This window comes from Homo sapiens, chromosome X (genome assembly GCF_000001405.40).
Source record: "Homo sapiens chromosome X, GRCh38.p14 Primary Assembly".
Taxonomy (NCBI): domain Eukaryota; kingdom Metazoa; phylum Chordata; class Mammalia; order Primates; family Hominidae; genus Homo; species Homo sapiens.
In genome coordinates, this window is record NC_000023.11 from 2,419,066 (window position 1) to 2,437,301 (window position 18,236).

Here is an 18,236-nt window from a genome sequence, read left to right on the forward strand (position 1 = left end):
CCAATCCTTTTGCATCTAGAGGGGGCGCAATAAACTGAATGTTTGTATCCCTCCAAAGTTCCTATGTTGAAATTCTAACATCCCCAGTGATTCTGTTGGGAGGCGGAGGCTTTGCGGGATGATTAGGTCACGAGGGTGGAGCACAATGAATGGAATTAGTACCCTTATAAAAGAGACCCCATCCAGGTTCCACCATGTGAGGACACAGGAGAAAGTGGCCATCCACAACCTAGAAGACAGACTACACCAGAATCTGACCACACTGACCCCCTGGTCTTGGGACTTCCAGCCTTGAGAACTGTAGGACAATAAGTTTCTATGGTTTATTGTGGAAGTCAGTGTGGCGATTCCTCAGGGATCTAGAACTAGAAATACCATTTGACCCAGCCATCCCATTACTGGGTATATACCCAAAGGATTATAAATCATGCTGCTATAAAGACACACGCACACGTATGTTTATAGCAGCACTATTCACAATAGCAAAGACTTGGAACCAACCTAAATGTCCAACAACGATAGACTGGATTAAGAAAATGTGGCACATATACACCACAGAATACTATGCAGCCATCAAAAATGATGAGTTCATGTCCTTCGTAGGGACATGGATGAAGCTGGAAACCATCATTCTCAGCAAACTATCGCAAGGACAAAAAACCAAACACCGCATGTTCTCACTCATAGGTGGGAACTGAACAATGAGAACACATGGACACAGGAAGGGGAACATCACACACCGGGGACTGTTGTGGGGTGGGGGGAGGGGGGAGGGATAGCATTAGGAGATATACCTAATGCTAAATGACGAGTTAATAGGTGCAGCACACCAGCATGGCACATGTATACATATGTAACAAACCTGCACGTTGTGCACATGTACCCTAAAACTTAAAGTATAATAATAAAATTTTAAAAAAAAAGTTTCTATGGTTTGCAAGGCACTCAGGCTACAGCAGCCCAAACACACCAAGACAGGAGAGTTAGGGACATGGATGAACTTGACAATTTCAAGAAATTGTCATAAAGTTTTAACTTGTCCCAGTCTATTAAGAGAATGAGGCCGGGCGCAGTGGCTCACGCCTGTAATCCCAGCACTTTGGGAGGCCGAGGCAGGCAAATTACGAGGTCAAGAGATCAAGACCATCCTGACCTACATGGTGAAACCCCCCCTCTACTAAAAATACAAAAAATTAGCTTGGTGTGCTGGCACGCGCCTGTAATCCCAGCTACTTGGGAGGCTGAGGCAGGAGAATCGCTTCAACCCGGGAGGCAGAGTTTGCGGTGAGCTGAGATCGCGCCACTGCACTCCAGCCTGGGCAATAACAGCGAAACTCCATCTCAAAAAATAATAATAATAATAATAATAAAATAATAAAATAAAATAAAGAGAATGGGGCCGGGCACAGTGGCTCACGCCTGTAATACCAGCATTTTGGGAGGCTGAGGCAGGTGGATCACAAGGTCAAGAGATCGAGACCATCTTGGCCAACATGGTGAAACCCCGTCTCTACTAAAAATACAAAAATTAGCTGGGTGTGGTGGTGTGCTCCTGTAGTCCCAGCTACTCAGGAGGCTGAGGCAGCAGAATCGCTTGAACCCGGGAGGCGGAGGTTGAAGTGAGCTGAGATCGCGCCACTGCACTCCAGCCTGGGCAACAGAGTGAGACTTCATGTCAAAGTAAAAAAAAAAAGAATGGATAAAAAAAATGCTCAAGTGGGAGTTAGGCACAACTTTGAGGAAAATAACTGCTTGATGGAAAGAAAGAGACTGATATAGACCAAAAAGTGCTCACCTGCTTCCGAAGCTCAACAAGTCATTAACTAATCCAACAAGATTTCATTATATTCTACTCAATTGCCTCATTATGACATAGCCAAACACGATGTTATCATTATCTAATACAACTAAGCTTCATCATGTGAAACAGTACACATCTCTGTATACTATTTTACAAACCCTGAAGTGCATCAGAGAAAGATGGTTATATGAGGAATGGAACTGCGTGTACAAAATTATTATTTTAAAAGACTCTGGGCACAGTGGCTCACACCTGTAATCCCAGCACTTTGGGAAGCCGAGGCAGGCAGATCGCTTGAACTCAGGTGTTTGAGACAAGTCCAAGCAACATGGTGAGGCCCCATCTCTACTAAAACTACAAAAAATTATCCAAGCCTGGTGGTGCACGCCTGTGGTCCCAGCTACTTGGGAGGCTGAGGTGGGAGGATCGCTTGAGCCCAGGAGGCAGAGGTTGTAGTGGGCTGAGATCACGCCATTGCACTCCAGCCTGGGTGACAGAGTGAGACGCTGTCTCAAAAATGTGAAAGTTGGGAAGAGCCATGACATAGAAAAATTTCAAGTTTTGCATTCATGTTTTGCAAAAGCCAAAAAGGCTCAAACTTAAGTGAAGGACGGAGCAAGGAGCCATGTGCGCTGACATGGACCACGCATCTCCAGGGAGACCAGAAGGCCACATGGGCTGAACATGGGGTTTCCCCATCTGAGTCAAAGACTCCTGGGGATTCCTGCATGAAATTCAGGAGGTTAGCATCAGCAAGGTTAGCATTTTCTTCTTTTGTAAATGAAGATGAGAAAACACAGAGGTGTGGGCAGCAGCCGTGCATTTGCCCCAGCAGAAACTGCCATGGAGATTTTTGGAGAGAGCTAACTCAAAGCCAAGTGGATGGCCATCGAGGCTCAGAACGCTAGCAGCTATTGAAACGCATGAGGCCCAGGACCAGAGCAGCTATTTAAACGCATGAGTATATCACAGTTTTTATCGTATAGATGTAATGCATACAATGATGTGGAGAGTTCATTTTTTCCTTATACCTTTTATCTGCATGTCAACTTCATCGATTCGTAACATGATGACTTTTAGCCTGTCCAATGAGCACCAACAGATGTCCAGAGGTTCAAGGCCTGGAAAGACTCTTTGCTGAGCCCTGGTCACCAGATCAGACTCATGCTCTTATGCTTGAGCCTTTTGGGCTATCGCAAAGGCATTCAAGGCCCAGAAAAGTGTCTGTCCTGGACAGAGCTCCTCAAAGATAAGGAAGAACTGAGACAAATTCATGTTGAAATCTCCAGCCCTAAGCATTGTTTATGATCCATGATCATCTTTCCATAATGACAACAAGGGAAAGAAGGACAGAGAATGGCGGAGAGGAAGAAGTCAATCAATAATGGGCATTGGTTTTGGAAAGTCTTTTTTTGAGACAGAGTCTCACTCTGTCACCCAGGCTGGAGTGCAGTGGCGCGATCTCGGTTCACTGCAACCTCCGGCTCCCTGGCTCAAGCGATGCTCCCGCCTCAGCCTCCCGAGCAGCTGGGATTACAGGCATACGCCACCATGCCGAGCTACTTTTTGTATTTTTAGTAGAGACGGGGTTTCACCATGTTAGCCAGGATGGTCTCGATCTCCTGACCTCGTGATCTGCCCGCCTCGGCTTCCTAAAGTGCTGGGATTACAGGCATGAGCCACTGCTCCCGTCCTGGAAAGTGTTAAGTCAATACGATCCTGCATATCTCAAACCAGACCTACAGTATGATGTTTATAAAAGCAGACACCATAAAAGTTATTAAAAGCAAAGGGTGCCCAGGCCTAGTGGCTCACACTTGTAATCCCAGCACTTTGGGAGGCCAAGGTGGGAGGATCACTTCAACCCAGGAGTTCAAGACCAGCCTGGGCAACATAGCAAGACCCAGTATCTCCAAAACATTTTGTTTATTTTTTTGAGACTGAGTCTCGCTCTGTCACCCAGGCTGGAGTGCAGTGGCGTGATCTCAGCTCACTGCAACCTCCGCCTCTCAGGTTCAAGCAATTCACCTGCCTCAGCCTCCCGAGTAGCTGGGACTACAGGCGCCCACCACCACGCAGGCACTCACCCCCAAGCCCAGCTAATTTTTGTGTTTTTAGGACAGTCAGGGCTTCACCATGTTGGCCAGGCTGGTCTTGAACTCTTAACCTCAAGTGATCTGCCCACCTTGACCTCCCAAAGTGCTGGGATTACAGGCATAAGCCACCACGCCCAGCCGCCAAAATAACTTTTTTAAATGAGCCAGGGCCAGGCACGGTGGTTCATGACTGTAATCCCAGCGCTTTGGGAGGCGGAGGTGGGCAGATCACGTGAGGTCAGGAGTTCAAGACCAGCCTGGCCAACAAAGCAAAACCCCATCTCTACTAAAAATACAAAAATTAGCAGGGCATGGTGGCGGGCGCCTGTAATCCCAGCTACTCTGGAGGCTGAGGCAGGAGAGTCGCTTGAACCCAGGAGGCAGGGGATGCCGTGAGCCGAGGTCGTGTCACTGCATTCCACCTGGGTGACAGAGCAAGATTCTGTCTCAAAAAAAACAATAATAAATAAATAAATAAAATGAGCTTGGCATGGTGGTGCACGCCTGTCATATCAGCGACTCATGAGGCTGAGTCAGGAGGATTGCTGGAGCCCAGGAGTTTGAGGTTGCAGTGAGCTATGATTATGTCACTGCACTGCAGTCTGGGCTGACAGAGTAGGATCCTGTCTGAAAATAATTAATTAAATGCAGATAGTGTCAAGAGTGGGCATAATACACATTAAGGCTTTTATTTTTCCAAGCTCGTCTCCACACATCATTTAAGCTAGCTGATTTAGACTTCCCCAGGTATGCAATAGACTCTCTCCCCTCCTCCCCGCCCCCCACTCCGTCTCCATTGGCAGTAGTGGAATGGGTTAATTTGAACTGTCCTCATATTCCCAGTTGAAGGGAGACCTGAAGAGGTCACAGAGGAAGAGGAGTCAGAGATCACGATAAGCTTTTAGAGAAATTTTCAAAAAGAAGAGCAGAAATCAAACCGTGAGTGTCTATAGGTCATGGTTGCAGAAGAAACAAGTATCCCGCAACATTGTTCAGATTCTGTTAGGAGCTTGTGTTTGAACAAAATTCATAAATTGAAGTCCTAAAGCCCAGGGCCTCAGAATGTGACTGTGTTTGGAAATAAGGTCTTTAAAGTGGTGATTAAGGTAAAATGAGGTCACCAGAGTGGGCCCCGATCTAATTGAACTGGTGTCCTTATAAGGAGAGCATATGAGGACACGGACACACACAGAGGGATGACCCTGTGAGGACACAGAGAGAAACCAAGGAGAGAGGCCTCAGGAGGAACCAGCCCTGCCCACACCTGGATCTCAGACATCCAGCCTCCAGGACTGTGGGAAACTCAATGTCTGTTGTATATAAGCTGCCCATTCTATGGTAATTCTGTTATAGCGCCTGAAATGGACTAAGACATCTCAGGAGAAGAGGAGATGAAAACACACAGAGGGACGACCCTGTGAGGACACAGGGAGAAGATGGTGTCTACAAGCCAAGGAGTGAGGTGTCGGGAGGAACCAGCCTTACTCACACTGTGATATTGAACCTCCAGCCTCTGGAATTGGGAGGAACCAGCCCTACTTACACTGTGATATTGAACTTCCAGCCTCTGGAATTGTGAAAAATAAATTTTGGCTTTTTAAGCAACCTCCAGTCTCCTTGAGATACTTTGTTATAACAGCCCTAGTAAAGTCATAAAGATATATGGTTATTTTTTTCCAGTAAACCATGTGAAAGAAACACAGGATCAATATTTAAGCAGAATATATATCTACTTCCAAAAGGGTACAACAATTTTCTGTGTTTTCTAGGTTGTGAATATCACCTTCATGAGCTTTCTGGATCTGACTGAATTTTCTATATGCACATCAACATTTGCATACATGTCTGAATCGACACCTAAGTAGCTCACATTAGGTATAAGACACAACTAACTCTGCCAGGCGCAGTGGCTCACACCTGTAATCCTAGCACTTTGGGAGGCCACGGCAGGCGGATGGCTTGAGCTCAGGAGTTCAAGACCAGCCTGGCCAGCATATGGAAACTCTGTCTCTACTAAAAATACAAAAATTATCCAGGCGTGGTGGTGCATGTCTGTAAACCCAGCTACTCGGGAGGCTGAGGTAGGAGAATCACTTTAACCCAGGAGGTGGAGGCTGCAGTGAGCCAAGATTGCACCACTGCAGTCCAGCACGGGTTGACGGACTGCGATCCTGTCTCAGAAAAAAAAAAAAACCGAAAAAACAAAAAACACAAGTAACTGTAAAAGTCATCACCTATGATAACATGCATGCCAAGTCTCGCCAGATGCTTCGCTGTAGAATAGCCAATGCCATCTGTCCCTCCCGTCACTATAGCGACACGGTCAGGTCGTGGGGGGAAAACTGAAAAAGAAGAAGAGAAAATCATCAAACTAAGATTTGAAAGCAGAGCACATATTTGTAAGAATTAAGCCTCCAGAGAGGCAAGATGCCAAAGGGAGTTATGGTTCATTTATTTCTGGTTCTGTTCCTCTTGAATTCCCACAGGCTCAGGAGGCATGAATGTATTAAAGTGGATTCGCCCCCAGTAATGACAGTGCAGTAAAAAACCACCTGATAAATCCCCTGTCATCCCCTGTGAGTCCCTGGCAGGCTCTGCAATATGCCGTCAGTGTGACCGGCAGAAAGGTCTGCAGAACGGATACCCTTTACAGAGGCGAGCAAGAATCCTGGAATAACCTCTGCTCTCAGGGCAGCACTGAGCAGGACATTTTTGTTCGTTTGCGTTGTAAAATGTAGACTTTATTATGATGTAGGTATGGTGGGGCCAACAGATCAGGAGACTGCCGTTAAGCAAGTGGTTTGTTACTCACAGGTCCCAAGAGGAGGGGCGTGTTGACACCACTCAGGACCACACAGGGGCGCACCAAGTTTGGTCAGGTGGGAAGACAAAGGAGACCAGAGCTCTCACTGTGGTTTCCAAGGGAAGGAACAGGCGAGTAGGCTTACAGTTGGCTAGTGTGAATGATTTCAGCAGGCTCTGGGGCATAGGGGCTGTCCCTGACTCTCTGGTACCTGGCTTTGGGGTGGTTAGGGCAGGTGGAGAGTGACGTGGAATATGCAACCCCAATAAAGGAGATGGCTGGGGGGTGGATTCTGGATTGATGGGTTTGCATATGAAAGACAGGTTCATAGGTGGGCTCTTCACCACCTCTGGGGATTCGCTAGCTATGGGAGGGGCAGGGTCTCTAGGGTTGACAAGGCCATGAAAGTCATGCATCAGAACACAGAAAATAAAAGACTTGGTTAATACAGTTTGCTTCATAGCTGCTGGTATCACACGTGCAGATAGCATCTCACTTGAATTTCTGGTTAAGACGAGTGATCCACATTTTGAGGGAGATTTGTATTTCTTTTTCTTCCTTCCACTTGTCCTCCCTTCCTTCTCTCCATCTTTCCTTCCTTCCTTCCCTCTTTCCTTCCTTCCTCCTTCCTTCTCTTTTTCCTTTCTTCCTTCATTCCTTCCTTCCTTCATTCTTTCCTTCCCTCCCTCTTTCCTTCCCTCCCTCCTTCCTTCCTTCCCTCCCTCTTTCCTTTCTTCATTCCTTCCTTCCCTCCCTTTTTCCTTCCTTCCTCCTTCCTTCTTTCCTTCCTTCCTTCCCTCTTTCTTTTCTTCATTCCTTCCTTCCCTCCCTCTTTCCTTCTTTCCTTTCCTCTTTCCCTCCTTTCTTCTTTACTTCCTTGTCTCACTCCTTCTTTCTTCTTTTCCTTTTTCCTTCCCTCCCTTTCCTTCCTTTCTCCTTCCATCCTTTCCTCTTCACTTCTTTCTCTCACTTTTTCCTTCCTTCCTTCCCTTCCCTTCCTTTCCTCTTTACTTCCTTCTCTCACTCTTTCCTTCCTTCTTTCCCTCTTTCCTTCCCTCCCTCTTTCCTTTCTTTCCTCCCTCTTTCCTTCCTTTCTTCCTCCTTCCTTCTGTCCATCTTCTAACCCTTCCCTCCTTCTTTTATAAAATATGTGTAGAGCCCACACTCTGTGCCCAGCATACAGGGAAATGAATTAGACAAAGATAAACATGTTGTCTGCCTCAAGGACATTTGGTTCCCCTGGGAAAGATACCAACCACTCTAAATACACAGATGTGTCTGGCAATAATGCAGAACTTTCCAGATCTCACATCTTCCAGTTATGAATGAACTTCAAAGGAAGAAGAGGAAAGGGAGAAGCAGTGATTCTGGACGGAGGGTTAGAGAACAATCTTCCAAGGAGGGGCTCCTGAGCTGATGTTGTGACGGTGAGAGCAAAAGTCTAGCAGGCCTGGGATATTCCAGGAAGAGGAAGGCGGCTGGCTGGCTAGCTGGAGCCAAGCACATGGAAGGAGGGAAGAGAGGAGGGAAGAAGGAGTAGGGGCACCCCAGAGTTCGTGAGCTTCTCTCTGGCAGACAGGGCGTCATCACGGGGCTCTGAGCCAATCTGTGATATGTTTCACAGGAAGGAATAGATTCATGGAGAATCCACTTGAGCTGGAGGAAGACAAGGCTATCAAGGGTCTCCTGAAGCAGCTGCAGGGACTGACGGGGGAGCTCCGCCACAGTTCAGCACAGGTGGTATGAGAGGTGCTGGATTCAGAATATGTCTCACAGGTACTGGCCACAGGGGTGCTGGTGGGAGTCAGACTTCTCGCGTTCAAAATAAAAAGAAATCACAAGACAAGGACAGAGAGGGGGACATGATGAGGCAAGAATGACTCCTTGTACTGGGGGCTGAGAAAATTCAAGGAGGGAATTTCCATGAATTCCCTTGAGAAAGAAAGACTGAGGGAAAAGTGGATTTTGCAGGCAGGTAGTCAGGAAAGTCCCTTTCTGTGAATTATTATAGGCACATATGATCTTTTTCAAGTTAGGAGATTATTTTGTTCAACATATTTGGAATGTTCTTTATTAAAATATAAAGCCTAAGTGTCCACCATCAGACAATTTGATTTTTTAAAATATGGCACATATATACCATGGAATACTACACAGCCATGAAAAGGAATGATGTTGTGTCTTTTGCAGCAACACGAAGGGAACTGGAGGCCATTATCCTAAGTGAAATGGCTCAGAAACAGAAAGTCAAGTACCACATGTTATCCCTTATAAGCGGGAATTAAATAATGTGTACACGTCGACATAGAGCATAAAAAATAGACATCGAGGACTCAGAAGTCTCACAGGGTGGGATGGGATGAGGGATGAGAAATTACCTATTGGCTACCATGTACGTTATTTGAGTGATGGCCTCACTAACAGCCCAAACATTACCACTATGCAATATATTCATGTAACACAAGTGTACTCATACCCACAAAATCTATAAAAATACAAAGGTAATTTAAATAGAAATAGGTTTATAAATCATTCCACTATAACGACACACACACGTATGTTTATTGCAGCACTGTTCACAATAGTAAAGACTTGGAACCAACCCAAATGCCCATCAACGATAGACTGAATAAAGAAAATGTGGCACATGGACACCATGGAATACTATGCAGCCATAAAAAAGGATGGGTTCATGTCCTTTGCAGGGACATGGATGAAGCTGGAAACCATCCTTCTCAGCGAACTAACACAAGAACAGAAAACCAAACACCACATGTTCTCACTCACAAGTGGGAGTTGAACAATGAGAACACATGGAAACAGGGAGGGGAACATCACACACCAGGGCCTGTCAGGAGGTGAGGGACTAGGGGAGGGAGAGCATTAGGACAAACACCTAATGTAGATGATGGGTTGATGGGTGCAGCAAACCACCATGGCACGTGTATACCTATGTAACAAACCTGCACGTTCTGCACATGTACCCCAGAACTTAAAGTATAATAAAATAAAATAAAACAATAAAGCCTATGCTGCTTTTCCATTTCACCTTTCCAAGTATAAAATGTTGTGTCTCCTCTCCCCCCAAAATAATTCCTATGTTGAGAACATACAATCGCCAGGGTGATGGTATCAGGAGGTGGGGCCTGTGGAGGAGGCTTCAACATATAATCTGTTATTTGTCAGCCCGTACATTTCGTTGTCAGTATTGTGCGAACAATCCTCTTGGTGTGTAAGACTTTCATTTTGTTTTTCTTGATACACGCATGAATCGATGAAAAGGTATGTTCACTTAGAAAATTGCCGAATAAGTTTTCCATATGCTTAGGTTTTCTGGTGTATCCCTCGTAACCTGAAGATAGAACCTGTACAATGACATTCCCGTGTTCCTGACCCAAGCTGAGGGACTTGCAAATACTATATGTAGTATCAGTAGATGTATTGATGTTCTTAATTTACTAAGTTTATTTTAAAAATAGGAATGTATTATTAAATTGTAATTACAGACACACAGTATGCATATATACTGTGTATGTATACATGTGTGTCTGTGTGTGGGTGTGTCTGTGTGTGTACATACATATTTCTCAGCCCCAATGCCAACTTCCTAGTCAATAAAGAAATCTCTAAAATCTTCCAGCTAAACTTGGAAAAGCAGCAAGTATCCATCCTGTTCTCTGTGATGCTTTTTTTTTTTTTTGAGCTGGGGTCTTACTACATTGCCCAGGCTGCAGTGCAGTGGTGCAATCATGGCTCGCTGAAGCCTCGACCTCCTGGACTCAAATGATCCTCCTGCCTCAGCCTCCCAAGTAGCTGGGACTACAGGTGTGAGCCACCACACTTGGCTAATTTTTTTTACTATTTTTTTTTTGTAAAGATGGGGTCTTGCTGTGTTGCCCAGACCGGTCTTGATCTCCGGGGCTCAAGTCATCCTCCCACCCCGGCCTCCCAAAGAGCTGGATTCCAGGAGTGCACCCTGTCATTTAACATGCTACTGGAGATCTTATCCAACATGGTCAGACAAATAATTACAACAGACACAAGAACGGCAGAGGGAGAGTCAAAATATACTTTGCAGATGATATGATGGTATGCCAGGAAAAAACTAACAAAATCAACATTAAATAAATCCAAGAAGAGAATTCAGGAAGGTAGTCAGATAGAAAACTCAGAAGCAAATATCAATAGCTTCCATACATACACAAACAATTGGCAGGTTAAAAAGGTAGGGGAAGAGACAGTCCTGCTTATAATATAGAAACAACAGCAACACTGAAATGAGACTTGGTCATCGAGAGTGTGCAAAACCTATATCAGGAAACCTAAAGACATAAAAGTAGAGTTGAGGCCATGGAAAGATGCCCTCGGGTCTCGGTGAGGATGTCATGCCACATGGTTTTGGAGGTGCCCGTGGGGTCTTCCCTGAAAACGCACAGTGAGCCGTGATTGTGCCACTGCACCGCAGCCTGGGCAAGGTAGCGAGACCCCAGCTCAAAAAAAAAAAAAAAAGCATCACAGATTGCAGAATGGACCCTTGCTGCATTTGTAACTTTAGCTAGAAGAGTTTAGTGTTTTCCTTACGGACCAGGAAGCTGGCATTGGGGCTGAGAAGTATGTATGTACCCACACAGACACCCCCGCACACAACAGGTTGCAACAATCGCCTGACACCAGCCACCCGGTGCCTCTGCAGATGGGGAACATGTTTCGCAAGATCGGGCTTCCTCAGGGTTTTGGGTTTTCACAGCCAATGACTCGGCATGACCAGAGAACTGGCTGGACGCTCCTTCTACCCAATTCCTCGCCGTCTCTTTCTTCACAGGTGTGAGGCACCTACACCATCACCTGCAAGCCTTCCTCCACTCTTCTGCCAGCGCCTGTTTGACCCTTCACACACAGTTCCCCTAGTAAATCTCTGGCCCATCATGTTCCTTCTTGGTGTGTGCTTCTCCAAAGACCCAAATGGGTCAGGCGCAGTGGCTCATGCCTGTAATCCCAGCACTTTGGGAAGCCAAGGCAGGCAGATCGCTTGAGCCCAGGAGTTCAAGACCAGCCTGGGCAACATAGTGAAGCCCCATTGCTACAAAACAAAAAAAAAGGTACAAAAAAATTAGCCAGGCATGGTGGCACACGGCTGTCATCTCAGCTACCCGGGAGGCTGAGTTCAGAGGATCACGCAAGACTGGGAGGTTGAGGCTGTAGTGAGCTCCGATCATACCACTGCACTCCAGCCTGGGTGACAGAGCAAGACTGTCTCAAAACAAAACAAAAAAAAGACGGCCGGGCACGGTGGCTCATGCCTGTAATCCCAGCACTTTGGGAGGCCGAGGCGGGTGGATCACGAGGTCAGGAGATCGACACCATCCTGGCTAACACGGTGAAACCCGGTCTCTACTAAAAATACAAAAAATTAGCCTGGCGTGGTGGCGGGCGCCTGTAGTCCCAGCTACTCGGAAGGCTGAGGCAGGAGAATGGCGTGAACCTGGGAGGTAGAGCTTGCAGTGAGCCGAGATTGTGCCACTGCACTCCAGCCTGGGCGACAGAGCTAGACTCCATCTCACAAAAAAAAAAAAAAAGACAAAAAAAACCCCCAAACTTTGTCCAATCCGGAGTTGACAGACACCTAAGTTTGATTCCATGTCTTTGCTTTTATGAATAGTGCTGCGATGAACACACAGTACGTGTGTCTTTTTGGTAGAATGACTTACTTTCCCTTGGGTAGATACCCAGTAATGGGATTGCTGGCTCAAATGTTAATTCAATTCTTAGGAAGACATGGTGCATCTATACCATGGAATACTATGCACCCATTAAAAAGAATGAAATCATGTCCTTTGCAGCAATATAGATGCAAGAGGAGGCCATTCTCCTATGTGAATTAACACAGAACCAGGAAACTAAATATCAGACGTTCTCACTTCTTACTGGGAGGTAAACATCAAGTACAGATGGACATAAAGATGGGAACAATAAACACTGAGCAATTCAATGGGGCAAGGAAGGGATGGGGCAAGGGTTGGAAAACTATTGAGTGCTGTGCTGACTACCTGGGTGACGGGATCCTTGTGCTCCAAACCTCAACATCACACAATATACCCAGGGAACAAACCTGCACATGTACCCCCGAACCTAAAATAGAAGTTGAGGCCAGATGCGGTGGCTCACACCTGTCATCCCAGCACTTTGGGAGGCCGAGACGGGTGGATCACGAGGTCAGGAGTTCAAGACCAGCCTGGCCAACATGGTGAAACCGCATCTCTACTAAAAATACAAAATTTAGCTGGGCGTGGTGGTGTGTGCCACCTGTAATCCCAGCGACTCGGGAGGCTGAGGCAGGAGGATCGCTTGAACCCGGGAGGTGGAGCTTGCAGTGAGCTGAGATCACGCCAGTGCACTCCAGCCAGGGCGACAGAGCCAGACTCCGTCTCAAAAAAAAAATTTTTTTTAATTTAAAAAATAAAATAGAAGTTGGAGGGGGAAAAAAAATCTAAACTGATACAATCCTAAAGGTGTCAGAATGACCCAAGTCAATATGCAAATTTGATGTGATCCAATAAAGATAGTTCACAGAATTTCTTTTAGGCAAACTGGACGAATCGATTCGAAAATTGCTGTGGGGAAAAGAATTCCAAATGAGGCGGCAAAGAGGAAAATTCTGATATGTACAAAGATTGAGAACACAATGGCCCTGTAGGAGATTAAAACATTTGAGAAGCTTCTATAATTAAACGGGAGGTACTACAGGCATTAATGGAGGAAGGAACAGGGTACAATTTCCAAAAATAGGCCAACTGCATGTGGAAATTGAGTACACGACAAAAGGGGCAAAAGATGGGCGTTTTAATAAACCGTGTTGGGGCACGTGAAGCCACATTAGGAAACAGATAAAATTAGTGCCAGACCTCATAGCATGCATGAGTGAACTCCAAGGCAAAAACAAAGTTAAACCATGAGAAGATTGCAAGAAAGCAGGAATCATTAGTTTAACCTCCACAGAAAGAAAATGCTTCCTAAACGAAAATTCAGAAAGATGGTTAGATAGATTTCACTATTTAAAAAACTACTTGTTTAAAAAACAGGCCGGGCAGTGGCTCATGCCTGTAATCCCAGCACTTTGAGGGCTGAGGTGGGGGTATCGCTTGAGGCCAAAAGCTCAGGACCAGCCTGGGAAACAGAGAGAGGCCTCATCTCTACAAAAAATTTAAAAAATTAACCGGGTGTGGCGGTGCGTGCCTGTAGTTCCAGCAAGCTGGGAGGCTGAGATGGGAGGATCACTTGAGCCCAAGGGATGGAGGTTGCAGTGAGCCAAGATCGTGCCACTGCACTCCAGGAGGAACAAGACACTATCTCAAAAAAAAAATCACATGGTAAAAAACAAAACAAATCTCCATAAGCAAAGTAAAAAATAAATAATGAGCTGGAAGAAAATTTGCAACTTCCATCAGAAATATTAACAGCTATTTTTCAGATATCTAAAAAGTTCAACTCCAGAAAAACCCCAAACATGCTACAAAGAAAAGGGCAAAAATAAGAGTTTATATACAGAACAGGCTCAAATGGCCCTCAACACATATGTTCTCCTTTATATCTAATAACAGACATCCTAATTCAGACCATATTGAAATACTATTTCTTTTTTTTTTAAAGTTCTGGGATACATGTGTAGAACGCGCAGGTTTGTTACATAGGTATACATGTGCCACGGTGGTTTGCTGCACCCATCAACCCATCATCTAGCTTTTAAGCCCTGCATGCATTAGGTATTTGTCCTAATGCGCTCCCTCTCCTTGTTCCCCAGCCCCCAGCAGGTTCTGGTGTGTGATGTCCCCCTCCCTGCGTCCCTGTGTTCTCACTGTTCAGCTCCTACTTGTAAGTGAGAACATGTGGTGTTTGGTTTTCTGTTCCTGCGTTATTAGGCTGAGAATGATGCCTTCCAGCTTCATCCATGTCCCTGCAAAGGACATGAACTCATCCTTTTTATGGCTGCGTAGTATTCCATGGTGTATTTTTCTAACCTTTTCTTTTTTGAGATGGAGTCTCGCTCTGTCGCCCAGGCTGGAATGCAGTGGCGCAATATCAGCTCAATGCAAGCTCCACCTCCCGGGTTCACGCCGTTCTCTCACCTCAGCCTCCCGAGTAGCTGGGACTACAGGCGCCCGCCACCACGCCCGGCTAATTTTGTTTTTGTATTTTTAGTAGAGACAGGGTTTCACTGTGTTAGCCAGGATGGTCTCGATCTCCTGATCTCGTGATCCGCCCGCCTCGGCCTCCCAAAGTGCTGGGATTACAGGCGTGAGCCACCGCGCCCGGTCTATAAAGAGCTCTTCTAACCAAACCCCAGTCCCTCCACAAATGGGTAAAGGAAATGAATATGCAATTTGGAGATATGAAATAAAACATAAGCATATGAAACAAAGTTCAGTCTCGCTGACAATGAAATAATGAATAAAGCAATTGTGAGCTTTCATCAATCACATGGAATAGGTTAAAAAGTAGGGTTGTTATCCAGAATGCGTATGCCTTGGAGAAGTTAGAAGTTTACATACTCAGTTCAAATGTACCCACCAAGACTGCATTTTCTTAGGAGATAAGTTGACAATGACTCCTGAAAGGTGACAGGCAGCCAGGCCTGGTAGCTTATGCCTGTAATCCCAACACTTTGAGAGGCCAAGGTGGGAGGATCAGCGGAGGCTAGGAGCACGAGGCCCAGCCTGGGCAACATAGCAAGACCCTACCTCTACAAAAATAAAAATAAATTAGCCAGACGTGGTGATGCTCGCCTGTAGTCCCAGCTACCCTGGAGGCTGAAATGGGAGGATCACTGGAGCCCAGGAGGTCGAGGCTGCGGCAAGCTATGATTGCACCACTGCACTCCAGCCTGGGTGACAGAGCAAGACGCTGTCTCTTTAAAATAAAGAAAAGAAAATTTACATGCATTTTCTTTTTGGCTCAGCTATTCCACTTCCAAGAATTACTTGCACAGATACACTCCCACACATATGCTAAGATATACGAGAAAACCATTCATGGCTGCCTTGTTTAGAATCAAAAACCATTTAGTTTCATCGCCATTTTATAAAAGACTTTTTGCAGGTGTTACTTAAAAAGAAACATCTTATTGTTCTTAGCAACAACTTGGATGGCTCTCCAGGGAATTCTATTGAGTGAAGGAAAAAAAGACACACGTGATTTGAAAGGGGTTACACTCTGTATGACTCCATTTATATGACATTCTTGACATGAGAAAAGGTACAGAAATAGAGAACAGACTAGTAATTCTCAGGGGTTCAGGACAGGAGAGGAGGTTGAGGTAGGATGCAGGTTGGTACAGAAATAGAGAACAGACTAGTAATTCTCAGGGGTTCAGGACGGGAGAGGAGGTTGAGGTAGGATGCAGAGAGAGAAACAGGAGGGGTTGTTGGTGAAAGAAATGCTCTGTGTGTTGCGGACAATGCTGGCTTCACAAACCTGCACGCACTATGAAATTGCACAGAACTCGGTACAAAAACCCACACGGATACGAGTAAAACATAAGATCAATGCATTATTGCCTGAATGTGAATATCCTCCTTGTGACATGGTATTATTGCTTTCCAAGATGTTACCACTGGGGGAAGTAGACACAAGATTCTTTCCTATTATTTCTTACAACTGCTTATAAATCTACAATGATCTCAAAGTAAAAACCTTAATTGGAAAAAAAAAAAAAAAGTCTAGGCAGGAAGCAGTGGGTCACACCTGTAATCCCAACACTTTAGGAGGTCAGGGTGAGACAATCACTTGAGGCCAGGAGTTTGAGATCAGCTTGGGCAACATAGCAAGACCCCATCTCTACAAAGAAATTTAAAACTTAGCCAGGCATGGTGGCTTGCATGTGTAGTCCCAGGTACGTGGGAGGCTGAGATGGGAGGATTGTTTGAGCCCAGGACTTGAAGGCTGCAGTGAGCTATGATTGCATTACTGCACTCCAGCCTGGGCAACAGAGCAAGATCCTGTCTCTAAAAATAAATGAATAGATAAGTAAGTAAATAAATAAATCTATGCTTACGCCATATGATATTTCATTCTTAAAAAACAGGAAAAACAAAAGTCCTATCCTTCTTGATCCTAGTACAGTTGTTTTGAAAATATCTATATGTTTCATGGGGGCTGGGCGCAGTGGCTCACGCCTGTAATCCCAGCACTTTGGGAGGCCGAGGCAGGCGGATCACGAGGTCAGGAGTTTGAGACCAGCCCAATCAACATGGTGAAACCCCGTCTGTACTAAAAGTACAAAAATTAGCCGGGCATGGTAGCACGCACCTGTAATCCCAGCTACTCGGGAAGCTGAGGCAGGAGAATCACTTGAACCCGGGAGGCAGAGGTAGCAGTGAGCCGAGATCACACCACTGCACTCCAGCCTGGGTGACAGAGGGAGACTCCATCTCAGAAAAATAATAACAACAAAAATAAATAAATAAATAATAAAACAAAACTAAAAAAATAAAAACTATGTGTTTTATGATTCCCGTTTGAACTGCTGATCTTCCCACACCCTGGTCCCTTCATCTAACACTGAGGGCTGGAGACACAGTGAGTTTTGTCTACTGTCATGAGCTTCAGGGCATGGCAGGTACAGGTGTTGAGTTTTTGTTGTTTTATCATGAGGTTGGTGCAAAAGTTAATGGCAAAAGCAGCAATTACTTTTGCAGCAACATATTATTATTATTATTATTATTATTATTATTATTATTACTACTACTACTACTGATAGGGTCTTGCTCTGTCACCCCGGCTGGAGTGCAGTGGTGAAAACACAGCTCACTGCAGCCTCAAACTCCCAGACTTAAGCAATCCTCCTGCCTCAGCCTCCTAGGCAGCTGGGACTACAGGCACGTGCCAGCACATCTGCCAGTTTTTTTTTTAATCTTTTGTAGAGACAGGGTCTTGCTCCATTGTTCAGGCTGATCTCAAACTCCTGTTTTCAAGTGATCCTCCTGCCTCAGTCCCCCAAGTAGCTGGAACTACAGGTGTGTGCCACCATGCCCCACTAATTTATTTTTATTTTTGTAGAGATGGGGTCTCACTATGTTGGCCGAGCTGATCTCAAACTCCTGGCCTCAAGTGATCCTCCCACCTTGGCCTCCCGACGTGTTGCAATTATAGGCATGAACAGGCTACAGACCCCACCGTCATCTCCTCCATCAAAGAGGTTCCTGAACTTTACTTTCATGTTTGGTATACACTGCCTTGAATCCTTTCTCTTTTTTTGAGACCGAGTCTCGCTCTGTTGCCCAGGCTGGAGTGCAGTGGTGCAATCTCGGCTCACTGCAAGCTCTGCCTCCTGGGTTCATGCCATTCTCTTGCCTCAGCCTCCCGAGTAGCTGGGATTACAGGTGCCCGCCACCACACCTGACTAATTTTTTTTGCATCTTTAGTAGAGATGGAGTTTCACCGTGTTAGCCAGGATGGTCTCGATCTCCTGACCTCGTGATCCGCCCACCTCAGCCTCCCAAAGTGCTGGGATTACAGGTGTGAGCCACCATGCCCGGACACA

General features: G+C 45.7%; 1 protein-coding gene across 1 annotated transcript in view; it reads right to left on the reverse strand.

Annotated features, from left to right (window-relative positions):
• The window catches only part of DHRSX (dehydrogenase/reductase X-linked), a 281,471-nt gene that overhangs the window by 199,560 nt on the left and 63,675 nt on the right, over window positions 1-18,236 (reverse strand). The window contains exon 2 of the mRNA NM_145177.3: window positions 6,132-6,239. Coding sequence (NP_660160.2) covers window positions 6,132-6,239 — 108 coding nt within the window. The remainder of the gene's footprint in view (window positions 1-6,131; window positions 6,240-18,236) is intronic.